At 46.9% G+C, this 12,423-nt stretch overlaps 1 protein-coding gene across 1 annotated transcript in view, besides 4 other annotated features; it reads left to right on the top strand.

The window, feature by feature from the left end:
* SEC31B (SEC31 homolog B, COPII component) overlaps positions 1-10,717 on the top strand; it is a 33,215-nt gene extending 22,498 nt beyond the window's left edge. The window contains exons 17-26 of the mRNA NM_015490.4: positions 84-229; positions 933-1,106; positions 1,818-1,979; positions 6,481-6,658; positions 7,042-7,356; positions 7,603-7,661; positions 7,966-8,112; positions 8,390-8,506; positions 9,266-9,337; positions 9,569-10,717. Of these exons, the coding sequence (NP_056305.1) occupies positions 84-229; positions 933-1,106; positions 1,818-1,979; positions 6,481-6,658; positions 7,042-7,356; positions 7,603-7,661; positions 7,966-8,112; positions 8,390-8,506; positions 9,266-9,337; positions 9,569-9,748 (1,550 nt within the window). The 3' untranslated portion in view covers positions 9,749-10,717. The remainder of the gene's footprint in view (positions 1-83; positions 230-932; positions 1,107-1,817; positions 1,980-6,480; positions 6,659-7,041; positions 7,357-7,602; positions 7,662-7,965; positions 8,113-8,389; positions 8,507-9,265; positions 9,338-9,568) is intronic.
* Positions 10,787-12,279: an enhancer, noted in NCBI's record as "VISTA enhancer hs1006". NCBI's record gives its function as "enhancer in: hindbrain (rhombencephalon)[6/6] | midbrain (mesencephalon)[6/6] | forebrain[6/6]" and the evidence as "EXISTENCE:transgenic organism evidence [ECO:0001131][PMID:17130149]".
* Positions 10,787-12,404: a biological region, named in NCBI's record as "VISTA enhancer hs1006".
* Positions 10,852-11,627: an enhancer, noted in NCBI's record as "NANOG-H3K27ac hESC enhancer chr10:102245494-102246269 (GRCh37/hg19 assembly coordinates)". NCBI's record gives its function as "activates a minimal SCP1, AML or CMV promoter by ChIP-STARR-seq in naive and primed H9 embryonic stem cells {active_cell/tissue: H9 hESC(naive and primed)}" and the evidence as "EXISTENCE:reporter gene assay evidence [ECO:0000049][PMID:30033119]".
* Positions 11,628-12,404: an enhancer, noted in NCBI's record as "NANOG-H3K27ac hESC enhancer chr10:102244717-102245493 (GRCh37/hg19 assembly coordinates)". NCBI's record gives its function as "activates a minimal SCP1, AML or CMV promoter by ChIP-STARR-seq in naive H9 embryonic stem cells {active_cell/tissue: H9 hESC(naive)}" and the evidence as "EXISTENCE:reporter gene assay evidence [ECO:0000049][PMID:30033119]".

The raw sequence follows: 12,423 nt of genomic DNA, 5'->3' as shown, positions 1-12,423 counted from the left end.
TGGTCCTCTCCCTGTTTCCAAACAGGAGAAGGAGAGGCACACAGGGCAGCTGTGCCATTAATGAAATTACCCTCTCTCTGCAGACATGCTGGGAACTCGCATGGAACAGGAGGGCAGCAGGGCACTAACCTCCGAAGCCAGACTCTGTTATGTGTGCTCAGGGAGTGTGGAGCGGCTGGTGGAGTGCTGGGCAAAATGCCACCAGGCTTTGTCCCCCATGGCTCTGCAGGTACCCCTTCTCTGCAGGGTACTGGCCACTCCACACCAGGCCCTTAGGAGGCTAGTGGTGGAGATGTGCAGAGCTAGCAGAGGCGAATCTTCTGGGACAGGCTGGAACCACGGTGTTAGGGAGGAGCGAAAGGTCCTGAATGTCTGGGATCTTCTCCTCTTCCCTCAGAGAAGACTAAGCAGCAGCTGCTTCAGTGTTAGTCTTCATAATTTTTTTCCTATTTCAGGTTTGGTTTTACAGATGTATTCAGTACTTGAGTAATTGTGGCTTGGCCCTTCTATTAGCTACTGTGGAAAGTTCTGTGGATCTAAACTTCCAGGTGTTCTGTGGGTGACCACAGAAAGTGGGGGTCACAGACTCATGGAGAGACAAAAGTCGCACATGAAACAATTAGTCTGACAGAGTCTGTGGTTGGTGATGTATAAGCAGAAAGGGTAAAAAAGCAAAAGGAAGAGGTAGAGATGTACAAAAATCTAAGACCCAGATGGGTCCAGTTAAATCCAATCCTAACAGCTTGGGAGGTGAGGCCAGGTGGCCCTTCTCTGTCACAGTTCTTACGTGTCATCATCTGCTGCCTTCACCTAGGTATGGTCAGGTGCCCTCATCTGTACCCATAGTGGGAGATCCCTGAATGAGCTGCGTGGACTTAGAGAGCAGGATATGCCTCATTGAAGGCTTACCACCCTCATCCTTGCCCTTACAGGACCTGATGGAGAAGGTGATGGTTCTTAACAGGAGCTTGGAGCAACTGCGGGGTCCTCATGGGGTGAGCCCAGGCCCTGCCACAACCTACAGGGTCACTCAGTATGCCAACCTCCTGGCAGCCCAGGGCAGCCTGGCCACTGCCATGAGCTTTCTACCCAGGGACTGTGCTCAGGTAAGTGGGGCCATGTGGAGAGAGCAAACCATTTCATTCAGTCATCTAACATTGATTGAGCACTTCCATATTCCAGGCACTATGCTAATGCTGAAGCTCCTAGGATAGATAAGATGGAATCCCTTAAGCACCTCACAATCTACTGGGGGAAGATCAGATGTTGATGACTTATAGTGCCATAACAGAAGCTTATACTGAGCACTGTGGGAGTCCAGGGAAGGGACTGATTTTTGCCTGGAGAAGTCAAGGAAGGCTTCTCAATGGTTAAAACAGCTGAGCTGGACCTTCAAAGAGAAGTAGCTTACCAGCAGATATAGAGCATTCTAAGCAGAAAGAATAGCAAGGAGGGAGGCATGCAAGTGTTTGGCAGGGATTCAGGAACCTTGAGTCATCTCTAAGGGGGCTAGAGTATAGAGCGGGGGTGTCCAAGGGTCAGAATACAGTCGTGGGTGCTTAGTTTCTGTTTCTGGTTGGGCCAGTAAAGCCCCTTCCTCATCCCGGTTTTCCACTTATCACTAGAGACAAACCAAAAACCATGGCTTCAGGCTGCTAAAAACCTAAAACAAAACAAAACAGAACAGAACAACAACAACAACAAAATAACACAGGTTGGACAAGCTTGGTGTAGAGGGTCAGCTGAAATTTGACTGCTACCTGGGGCCTTGATTGTTTTAATTTCTTGACACAGCTCTTCCTCATTAAAACTTATAGCCACCAGTTCAGCAGCTAAGAGATCGGCTTTTTCATGCTCAAGGTTCTGCTGTCTTGGGCCAACAGTCTCCCCCTTTCCCCTTCCCCCGGATTGTTGTGGGAGCTACCCTCCACTCTAAAGAGACATCATCTTACAGATTGGGATCCCAGCCTTCTCACCAGGTAAGACCTCGTTTGTTCATTCATTTGTTCATTCAATAATACGTGCCAAGCATGGTTCTGGGCACTTGGAATATATTGTGAACAAAACTGATGAAAATTCCCAACTTCCATAGAACATAGATTCAGTTCTTTTTATAATAAATAACTGTTTATTGAACTACTAGGCTCTTAGGACATAAAGGTGCAAAAATTGTGATACTTGCCCTCAAGTAGCTCATAGTGTAGTCGAAAGATAGATATGTAAAAAATAGCTACAGTAGGCCTGGCGTGGTGGCTCACGCCTGTAATCCCAGCACTTTGGGAGGCCAAAGCGGGCAGATCATGAGGTTTGGAGTTCGAGACCATCCTAGCCAACATGGTGAAACCCCATCTCTACTGAAAATACAAAATAATGATCTGGGCATGGTGGCACGTGCCTGTAGTCCCAGCTACTCGGGAGGCTGAGGCAGGAGTATCACTTGAACCTGGGAGGTGGAGGTTGAAGTGAGCCCAGATCATACCACTGCACTCCAGCCTGGCAACGGAGCGAGACTCCGTCTCAAAAAAAAAAAAAAAAAAATAGCTACAGTAAAATTCATAAATACCATGATTGGGGTATGGCAAGGGGCTATAAGATCACACAGATGAAAGTAGTTTACTCTGTATGGTGAGGTTGTGGGGGCAGTCCAGGGAGTGTTTCAGAACAAGTCGGATGTTTGATCAGAGTTTCAAAGATTAAAAGGTTTTAGGCAAAGGGATGAGCAAGTGAAGACTGTTTCAGGCACAGAGAATAGCATGTACAAAGGCACTGAAGCAAGAGTAAGCCGAAGCCTTTTGAGAATTACTATTATTTAATTGGGGCTGCAACACAGGTGTTTGTGGCTGTGAAGTTAGATGAAGCTGGAACAACAGGTAGGAGTTAGATCACTAAGGACCTAGCATTCTGTGCTAAAGAACTTAAACTTGACAGGGAGGAGCTATTGAACAGTTTTAGGAAGAGTGACATAATTAGCTGTATGTTAGGAAGGGCCAGGCTGGAGGGAGTTAGGCTATAGTAAGGGATGATGAAGACATGAAATAACTAAAGCTAGCCAGTGAGGTTGGATTTGAAATACTTAGTACTTAGTAGATAGAACTGACAGAATTGCTGATAGTTTGGAGAGGTGTGTGTGTGGTTGGGGGTACTGAGGGAGAGGAAAGAGGTTCTGGCCAAAGTGCCCGGGGGGATTGGATACTGTTAAGATGTGAGGCCAGAAGCTTGCTAGAGCTGCCGGAGAACAGAATCCAGGGAGATTTGGATACAGTTACCAGGCAGAAGCTCTGATGGCTCATCTTGTCCCACCTTCAATCCCCACCCTAATTCCTTTTCTTTTTTTCCCTCCCTTTCCTCCCTCCCTTTCTTCCCTCCCTTGTCTCCCCTTTTCCCCTTCCCCTCCTCTCCTCTCTCTCTCCCTCTCCCCGTCTCTTTTCATTTAAAAATAACCATAGATTCACAGGAGGTGGCAAAGAAATGTACTGGGATGTCTCCTGCATCCCAACAACACCCCGCCCCGTGTCGGCATCTCACACAACCACAGTACGCTATCAAAACCAAGAAATTGCCATTAGTACAATCCATGGATTCAGATTTCAGATTCAGTCTCCACCAGTTTTACATATTGTTAGGTGTGTGTTTATGTGTGTTTATGCAGTTTTGTCACATTGTGGTGTGTAACCACCACCAAAATCAAGATACTCAATTTTACCATCACCACAAGACTCTCTTGTGTTACCTCTTTTATAGCTGCACTTATTCTGCCTCCCTCATCCTTGGCTTCACCAATATGTTCTCCAGCTCTATCATTGTTATTTAACGATTGTTACTTAAATAGAATCATGGCAATATGTATCCTTTTGAGATTGGCTTTTCTCCCTTAGCATAACTTCTTTGAGGTTCATTCAAGTTGTTCTGTGTACCAGTAGTTCACTCATTCTTATTGCAGAGTAGTATTCCATGGTGTGAATGTACCATGGTTTTAATTTTTTTTTTTTTTGAGATGGAGTCTTGCTTTGTTGCCCAGGCTGGAGTGCAGTGGCGCGATCTTGGCTCACTGCAAGCTCTGCCTCCCAGGTTCACGCCATTCTCCTGCCTCAGCCTCCCGAGTAGCTTGTACTACAGGCGCCCGCCACCACGCCCGGATAATTTTTTGTATTTTTAGTGGAGATGGGGTTTCACCATGTTAGCCAGGATGGTCTTGATCTCCCGACCTCGTGATCCGCCCGCCTCGGCCTCCCAAAGCGCTGGGATTATAGGCATGAGCCACCGCGCCCGGCCCCAGTTTTAATTTTTTTAGCCATTCAAACTTTGAAGGACATTCGGATAGTTTCCAATTTGGGGTATTATGAGTAAAGCTGCTATGAGTATTCAAATACAAGTTCCTAACTGACATCTTTACTAGGTTCAGTCTTTCAGTCCATGAATGTGGCATGTTTCTCCATCAGCGTTTTATAATTTTTGTCACACCAATCCTGTACATATTTTGTCCAATTCATACTTAAGTATTTAATTTTTTATATCACCTGTCAGCTCATGCCTACTAAGTATTTAATTTTTTTCTTCAGCAGTTTAAAATCAAATTTCTTGGTTTCCACTTGTTCATTGTGAGTATATAGAAATGCAGTTGATTTTTATGTGTTGATCTGGTTATATCCTGTGACTTTCCTGAATAGTTATAGAAGTTTTTTGTGGATTCCATGGGGTTTTCTAATAGACAGTCATGCTGTCTACAAATCTGCAAATAGATAGTTTTCTTTCTTTTCAATCTATATGCATTTAATTTCTTTCTTATGCCTTATTGTAGTGACTAGGACTTCCAGTCTCTGTTAAATAAGAATAGTGAACATAAGCCAGGCGCTGTGGCTCATACCTGTAATCCCAGCACTTTGGGAAACTGAGGTGGGTGGATCACCTAAGGTCAGGAGTTGAGACCAGCCTGGCCAACATGGTGAGACCCCATCTCTACTAAAAATATAAAATTAACCGGGCATGGTGGCGCATGCCTGTAATCCCAGCTACTCAGGAGGCAAGGCTGGAGAGTCGCTTGAACCCGGGAGGTGGAGGTTGCAGTGAGCTGAGATTGTGCCATTGCACTCCAGCCTGGGCACCAAGAGCGAAACTCTGTCTCAAAAAAAATAAATAAATAGTGAACATGAATGTTCTTGCCTTGTTTCCAGTCTTAGAGGAAAAACATTCAATATTTCAGCATTAAGCATGATGTTAGCTTTAGGTTTTTCACAGATGCTCTTTATGAGACCAAGGACATTTCCCTCTATTCCTTGTGTCTTAATCCATTTTGTGCCACTATAACAGAATACCACAGACTGGGAAATTTATAAAGAACAGAAATTTATTTCTTATGGTTCTGGAGTCCAAGATCAAGGCACCAGCAGGTATGGTTCCAGCAGGTACGGTTCCACCCTCTAGTTGCAAGATGGTGCCTTGCTGCTGTGTTCTCACATGGCAGATAGCAGATGTGCAAGAGAAAGCAAACCCACTCCTGCAAGTCATTTTTGTAGTGGCATTAATCCATTAATGAGGGCAGAGCCCTCATGACCTAAACACTTACAAAAAGTCCCACTTTCCCAACACTGTTGCATTGAGGATTCAGTTTTCAACACATGACTTTGGGGAGCATATTCAGACCATAACACCTTGTGTACTAGATCATGAATCGGTGTTGAATTTTGTCAAATGTTTTTTCTGCATCATTTCTGTCATCATGTTATTTTCATTCTTTAGTTTGTTGGTATAGGGGATTAAATTGATTGGTTTTTAAATATCTTGGATCAGCTTTGTATGACCTGGAATCAATCCCACTTTCTTGTGGAATATTATTTTTTATATACATTATTTGATTTGCTAAAATTTTGTTGAGGATTTTTGTGTCTAAGTTCATGAGAAATATTGATGTGTAGTTTTATTTTCTGCTATCTTTTTCTGTTGCTGGCATCAGGGTAATACTGGCCTCATGAAATTAGTTAGGAAGTGTTCCTTCTATTTTCTGGAAGAGATTACATAAACTTTGCATTAATTCTTTGACTGGTGAAATTCTCCAGTGAAACCATCTAGGCCTGGAGATTTCTTTTTTGGGAGCTTTTAAATTACAAACTCAATTTCTTTAATGGTTATAGGACTATCCAGATCTTCTTTCATTGTGACTGAGTTTTGGTAGTTTATGGTTCTTGAGGAATGGGTCCATTTCTGATAAGTTGTCAGATTTATGAATGTAAAGTTTTCTGTAGTATTCGTTTATATTTTTAATGGCTTCAGGGTCTGTTGTAATAGTCCCTGTTTCATCTCTGATGATGATTTATATCTTCTTGCTTTTTATCTTTATCAGTTTTTAGATGTTTATCAATTTTATTGATTTTTTTCCTCAAAGAACTAGTTTTTGTTTCATTAATTTTCCCTATTATTTTTCTGTTTTCTATTATTTACCTTTCTCTTTCCTTTCCAAGAGCTGATGTTTTTTTCTCTTCATAGGTCCCAACTCCATCTCCAAGGCCAAGGGTTTTCACCCCTCAGTCATCACCAGCGATGCCCTTGGCACCTTCCCATCCTAGCCCTTATCAGGGTCCCAGGACACAGAATATAAGTGACTACAGGGCACCTGGGCCCCAGGCCATCCAGCCTTTGCCTTTGAGCCCTGGGGTAAGGCCTGGTGAGTGAGTCACTGAAGATCTATCTGGGCAGAGCACAGAGGTCTCAGGAAAGCAATTGGCATGGCCAGCATGGATTTGGGAAGCTGTATGTCTGTCTAGTGAGAGGAGCTTGGAAGTTGAAGTCTGAATTCCTAATGCTATCACTGGCTTCGTACCTTTGGCAATATACCAAAGTGTTGTGTTGCTTATTTCAATGCTATGGGATTGTTTTGAAGGTCAAATAAGGAATATAGTTAAAAGTATTTTGTAAATTATAGATTTCCATATACATGTATTAATCATTTATTATTTTTTTATTGCAATCCTGTTTCTCCCTGATATGCTCTGAGTTGCTCCTGAAATGAAGTTTAGTGACAAATGACCTATTTCTGTTCTGCTTCAGCTTCATCTCAGCCACAGCTATTAGGAGGGCAAAGGGTGCAAGTTCCTAACCCGGTGGGATTCCCTGGGACATGGCCTCTTCCTGGTTCCCCTCTACCCATGGCATGCCCAGGCATCATGCGACCTGGCTCTACCTCCCTGCCTGAGACTCCTAGACTGTTCCCTCTGCTTCCTCTGAGACCACTAGGTCCCGGCCGCATGGTCTCCCACACCCCAGCCCCTCCTGCAAGCTTCCCTGTGCCATACCTTCCAGGGGACCCAGGTGCCCCATGCTCTAGTGTCCTCCCAACCACTGGCATCTTGACTCCTCACCCAGGTCAGTCTTCCTTCCATGGATCCCTCTTCTGGGTTATTGCCTCCCCTGCTCCTCTCACTACTTTGGGAGTCTTTCCTCAAGTCAGAGGGCTAGGGCCCTGTTGGGTGGAGGGTGGCTGGGAGTGTAGATGGTCTGCAGAGGGAGGTATGGTGAACTCCAACTCAAAGAATGCTTCCAGCCTTCAGATAAAAAACTTCCAGTGTTTTTCACTATGCGCCGAAAAACCTCTATCTTTTTATTCTATAGGACCTCAAGATTCCTGGAAAGAAGCCCCAGCCCCCAGGGGAAACCTCCAGAGGAACAAGGTCAATGCATCTTTCCCTACCCACTCCCTCGCACATTCACCAATGACCACGTTCTAATTCCTTGGAGGATTCAGTCAGTCCTTCCCCTTCTCAGACTGTCCCCGCCCTCCTCCCACTTACTCTTCTTTCCTCAGAACCCTCTTCTTTCTCTTTCCCTCTTACACACATACACCAGTCTCCTCACTTCCCAGTTTCCCACACTCACTCTTCTGTCTCCTTGTTCACTGTCATTCCTGCCACTCCCCAAAACCAGAGCCATGGAGTCTCTCAGGTTAGACTCATGTCTTTCCTTCTGTCTCTTTAGCTGCCAGAGACATTTATGCCCCCAGCACCAATTACTGCTCCAGTTATGAGCCTCACCCCTGAGCTACAAGGGATTCTTCCCTCACAGCCCCCTGTCTCCAGTGTGAGTCATGCTCCCCCAGGAGTTCCAGGAGAACTCAGCCTGCAGGTGACAAGGACAATGTATTCCCCTCCCTTGGGAAACCTTCCAGCCCTCCTTGGGTGCAGGTCATGGTAGATGGGCCTCATTCCTCAAGGCATGTGCTGAGGGAGACTGGGGGCAGGTACCAGGTGTCCTTACTGCAGAGAAAGGGAGGCTGCTCATCTCCCCAACTCTGCTGTAATGGGAACAGTGTGACTGTGAGTCACTGGGGACTAGTCCTTAGGGAAGCCATGAGAAGGACAGCTTGCCCCTCTGGCCTTTCTCCCTGCTTCTTTATCAGCAGCTTCAGCACCTGCCACCTGAGAAGATGGAAAGGAAGGAGCTGCCCCCAGAGCATCAGTCCTTGAAGAGCAGCTTTGAGGCGCTTCTCCAACGCTGCTCCCTGTCTGCAACTGACTTAGTAAGTCTGAACCTTCTTCACAGTGCCCTCCTCGCACCCCTCGCTGGCTCCAGGACCCCTCAGCTGTGGACCAGTTCCTTGTGTGACTCTCTTCTCACTGCCCCTGGACATGCTGTCTCTATCTTGTACTTAATTGACGTCCATGTGGAGCTGGGGAGAGACTTTTGAGTCTGGTCTGAAGTCCAGCTCCTTGGTGGTAGGACCCAGCAGCATTGAGACCTAAAGGCAGCAGGGGTACTGGAAGGAGGGTGGAGCCAGGAGTGAGGAAGTCTGCCATTCCCCTGCTGGCTGTGTCGGCTTGAGCAAGTCACTTACCCTTCTTGGGCCTTCATTCCCTCCTCTGTGAAATGAAGCCATTCTAGCTCTAATATGCTGTGATTTTTTTTTTTTTTTTTTTTTGAGATGGAGTCTCGCTTTGTCGCCCAGGCTGGAGTGCAGTGGCGCGATCTCGGCTCACTGCAAGCTCTGCCTCCCGGGTTCAAGCCATTCTCCCGCCTCAGCCTCCCGAGTAGCTGGGACTACAGGTGCCCACCTCCATACCCGGCTAATTTTTTGTATTTTTAATGGAGACGGGGTTTCACCGTGTCAGCCAGGATGGTCTCCATCTCCTGACCTCATGATCCACCCGCCTTGGCCTCCCAAGGTGCTGGGATTACAGGCGTGAGCCACCATGCCCGGCCTAATATGCTGTGATTCTTTATGGCCCTGTGTGGTGTTAGACTTAGGGGCTGGGGTTGGAATCCATTTCTTTCCCTGCAGAAGACAAAAAGGAAGCTGGAAGAGGCAGCCCAGCGTCTGGAGTATCTATATGAGAAGCTCTGTGAGGGGACAGTAAGTACAGCTAGCTGTGCTCCCACTGCCTCCTACACTTCCACCATCACCATGGCCAAAGGAAGCCCAGTGTCTTTTCTTCCCATAGGTGTCACTGACCTGGGTTCCCCACAAAATACGTGCATCTTGCCTGGACTGGGCCCCAGAACTTAAGTCTTCCCTTATCCCTTCCATGCTGCCAGGGTAGGAGCTGGGTTGGGCTCACTAACCTAAGGGTCATTCCCTCCACAGCTCTCACCTCATGTCGTGGCTGGGCTCCATGAGGTTGCCCGATGTGTGGATGCAGGAAGCTTTGAGCAGGGCCTTGCAGTGCATGCCCAGGTGGCGGGCTGTAGCAGCTTCAGCGAGGTGTCCAGCTTCATGCCTATCCTGAAGGCTGTCCTCATCATCGCTCATAAGCTGCTGGTCTAAACCAGGCAGCCTCTCTTGCTAGGAGGCCACTTCTGCTGTTACATAACTCCTCCCTGCAGAAGAGGGGACTTCTGCAACAGATTCTGTTTCTTTTTCCCGACTCTTTTCCTTGCTGCCAGGTATGTGATGCTGTAGGCTTGGCTCCAAACCAGCTGAGTGCCTGCTTTTTACTCCTTTATGTCTGGCCTTCTAGGATCTGTCCAAGACACTCTCAGGCCTGGAGGCAGGGCATAGAATCAGTTCTTCACTCTCCCTAATACTACACTCTGTAAGGACCTGGGGCAGGATATCTTCTCCCCCAGGGATCTTCTATTTAAGTGGCTTCTGAGAGGGTGAACAGGATTGTTACTTTTAAGCCTACCTCTGCTGTGACCCATCATGTGGGTCTTTTGTTTCTCCCTTCTGTGGTTTATGAGCCTGCCCTTACCTTTTCCCTGCCTCTGACTTGGTATTTCCAGGTCCGTATTTCTCTGTAGCCCAGGGTCTGGGGTAGAGCTGACTGCTGTTCACCCTTTGAACAACTCATGGACGTGAGGGATGGGTGCTGAGCAGAACCAAGAGAGGAAACTTTGGCGCTGTTAAAATGGAATTTCTCATCTGCCGGCATTATTAAGGGTGGGCTAGGTTGGATGGAAGGTGAAAGGGATGAACTGCCTTTTGCTGGAAGCTGTCTTAGGCTGTGAGACAGGAGCAGGGGAACCACAGCCTATGGGGAACTGCCCTTGACTCCACCTATGTTGGAGCCTTAGCCCAAGGCCATTCCTTCTGTGATGATAAAGCCCAGTTCTGGAATTGGAGCCATATTAAGGAATGATTCTCTTCCAGCGCTGCTCCTCAAGGGTTGGGGGTCCTTCTCCCTCGCAGCCACCACATGTCTCAGGGCTACCTTCTCCGATTGGATTTGCATTTGTGGCACTGTCTTTGATGCAGTGATGTACTTAATGGTGCAATAAAGCTGCTTCGATTTGGTTTCCTCTGTCATCTCCCAGTCATTGCCTCCTCTGGGTTCTATTTTGCCATTACCTTTCTAGTCCTCTTTATTCTTGCTTCCTGCACCCTAGTAAGGCAGGGGAGAGGCTTAGGGAGAGATAAATCAAGAAAGTTAAAGGAAGGTGTCCATTCCCACTGAATTAGGTTCTCTCCTTGCAGCATTTGTGGTCACTCTGCTGGGTGTGTTGAGGGTGGGGGGATTGTCTCCCTTCATCCGTGCCTGGTGTTCAGTTCCAGGGTTTTCCCTACCCCACTTCAGGGCTGAGCTCAGCTATACAAAGGGACTGGGTGTGAAGCCAGGGGATGCTAGCCCTAATCCTGTTGTAGATCCCATCATGTCTGCGGGCTAGATGTGTGTGTGTTTGGGAGGGAGGGATTGTTAGGCAGTATTTGTTTGTAAAGCCACTTGCTCTTCAGATAATACTTGCACTAACTTCTATTGATGAAGCAGTGTGAGCCCTAGCAAAGTCCTTTCCCAAAGTGTCTTTGAAGCCAAGAGCCCATTGAAGGGAAGAAAGGCCGGGAGAGGGGATTAGTTTGTTCAGCAGCTGTGAATTTCAGTGGGAGGTTGATGAACTCCGAAGTCTTTGTTTAAATTAAAGTGGGGGAGAAAAAAGCCGCTGCTGGAGCGAGAGCCCCACTTGGGGCCCTGAACTAACACAAGGAGAAGTCTGAGCTGCAGGGAGCTGTGTACTGACTGCGAAGACTTTTCCCAAACACTTTCGGAAAAGGTGTTGTGAGAAGACAAGGGGGCGGAGTGGCGGATTAGCATGTGAAATGAAGTTTTCATTGACTCCAGTGGGGGTAGAAGGCTATTTTAATGGCATTTTGTTCTCCTATTTTCTCTTCTTGAGCTCTTTAGAGATATTGTTTTGCTAAGACAGGCTTTCTTCCCCCTTCTTTCCAGTCTGAGGATTGCCTCTATGGGAGCCAACATAAATATTTCTCCTCCAGGAATGCGGGTTAATTAAAAGGAAATGAATGAGTGGAAGCATCCAATCCAGACCTACAATAGGCGAGTGCCCTGGCCTGCCCTCCCCTCCCACCACCGCCAGCACCACCAGCGCCGAAGACGACCCCGTCTCTGTCTTTGCCCTAACCTGCTGCTAAGGCCAGTTGAGGCTGCGATTCTTTTCAAAAAGAAAAAGCTCTGCCTGTGTTTAGGCTCACAGGCCAGGGACAGGAAGGAGACAGTGTTTTGCCCACCCCAACCAATGTCCTTGTCACTTCTCAGGGCCTCCCTCTGTTTCTGTCTTCTGGCTGAGACAGATGGGCTCCTGAAGAGCACACAAGAGGTGGAAGGGGCCTGTGCTCTGCACTCTCCCCACAGTAACTTACTAGTTGGGGGAAGAAGCCAGTCATCTTTCTCAGCATCAGTTTAAATCTGTAACACAAAAGGTTTGACTGGCTGACCTCAAAGATGTCTTCCCAAGCACCAGTTCTGGAGTTGTCTACTTTGTAAAGGGACCACGGCCCTGGCAATTGAGTGTAAGATGAGAACTTAAACTCCGTGATGCAGCAATGGTGGTTGTTCACCACTATCTCTACTCTGGTGTTTGTTGAATGAACAAATGAACAAGTGGATATTGCAAAAGGAAGGGAAAAGCAATACAGATCCAAGGCATCTCAGTCATGTTTTCTTGGTAGAACTGGAATGAATCTGGTATCCATTTGGGGGTATAAAA

Source organism: Homo sapiens, chromosome 10, assembly GCF_000001405.40.
Source record: "Homo sapiens chromosome 10, GRCh38.p14 Primary Assembly".
Taxonomy (NCBI): domain Eukaryota; kingdom Metazoa; phylum Chordata; class Mammalia; order Primates; family Hominidae; genus Homo; species Homo sapiens.
The sequence above is the reverse complement of the archived record's forward strand: the minus strand, read 5'-3'. Positions and strand labels throughout refer to the sequence as shown.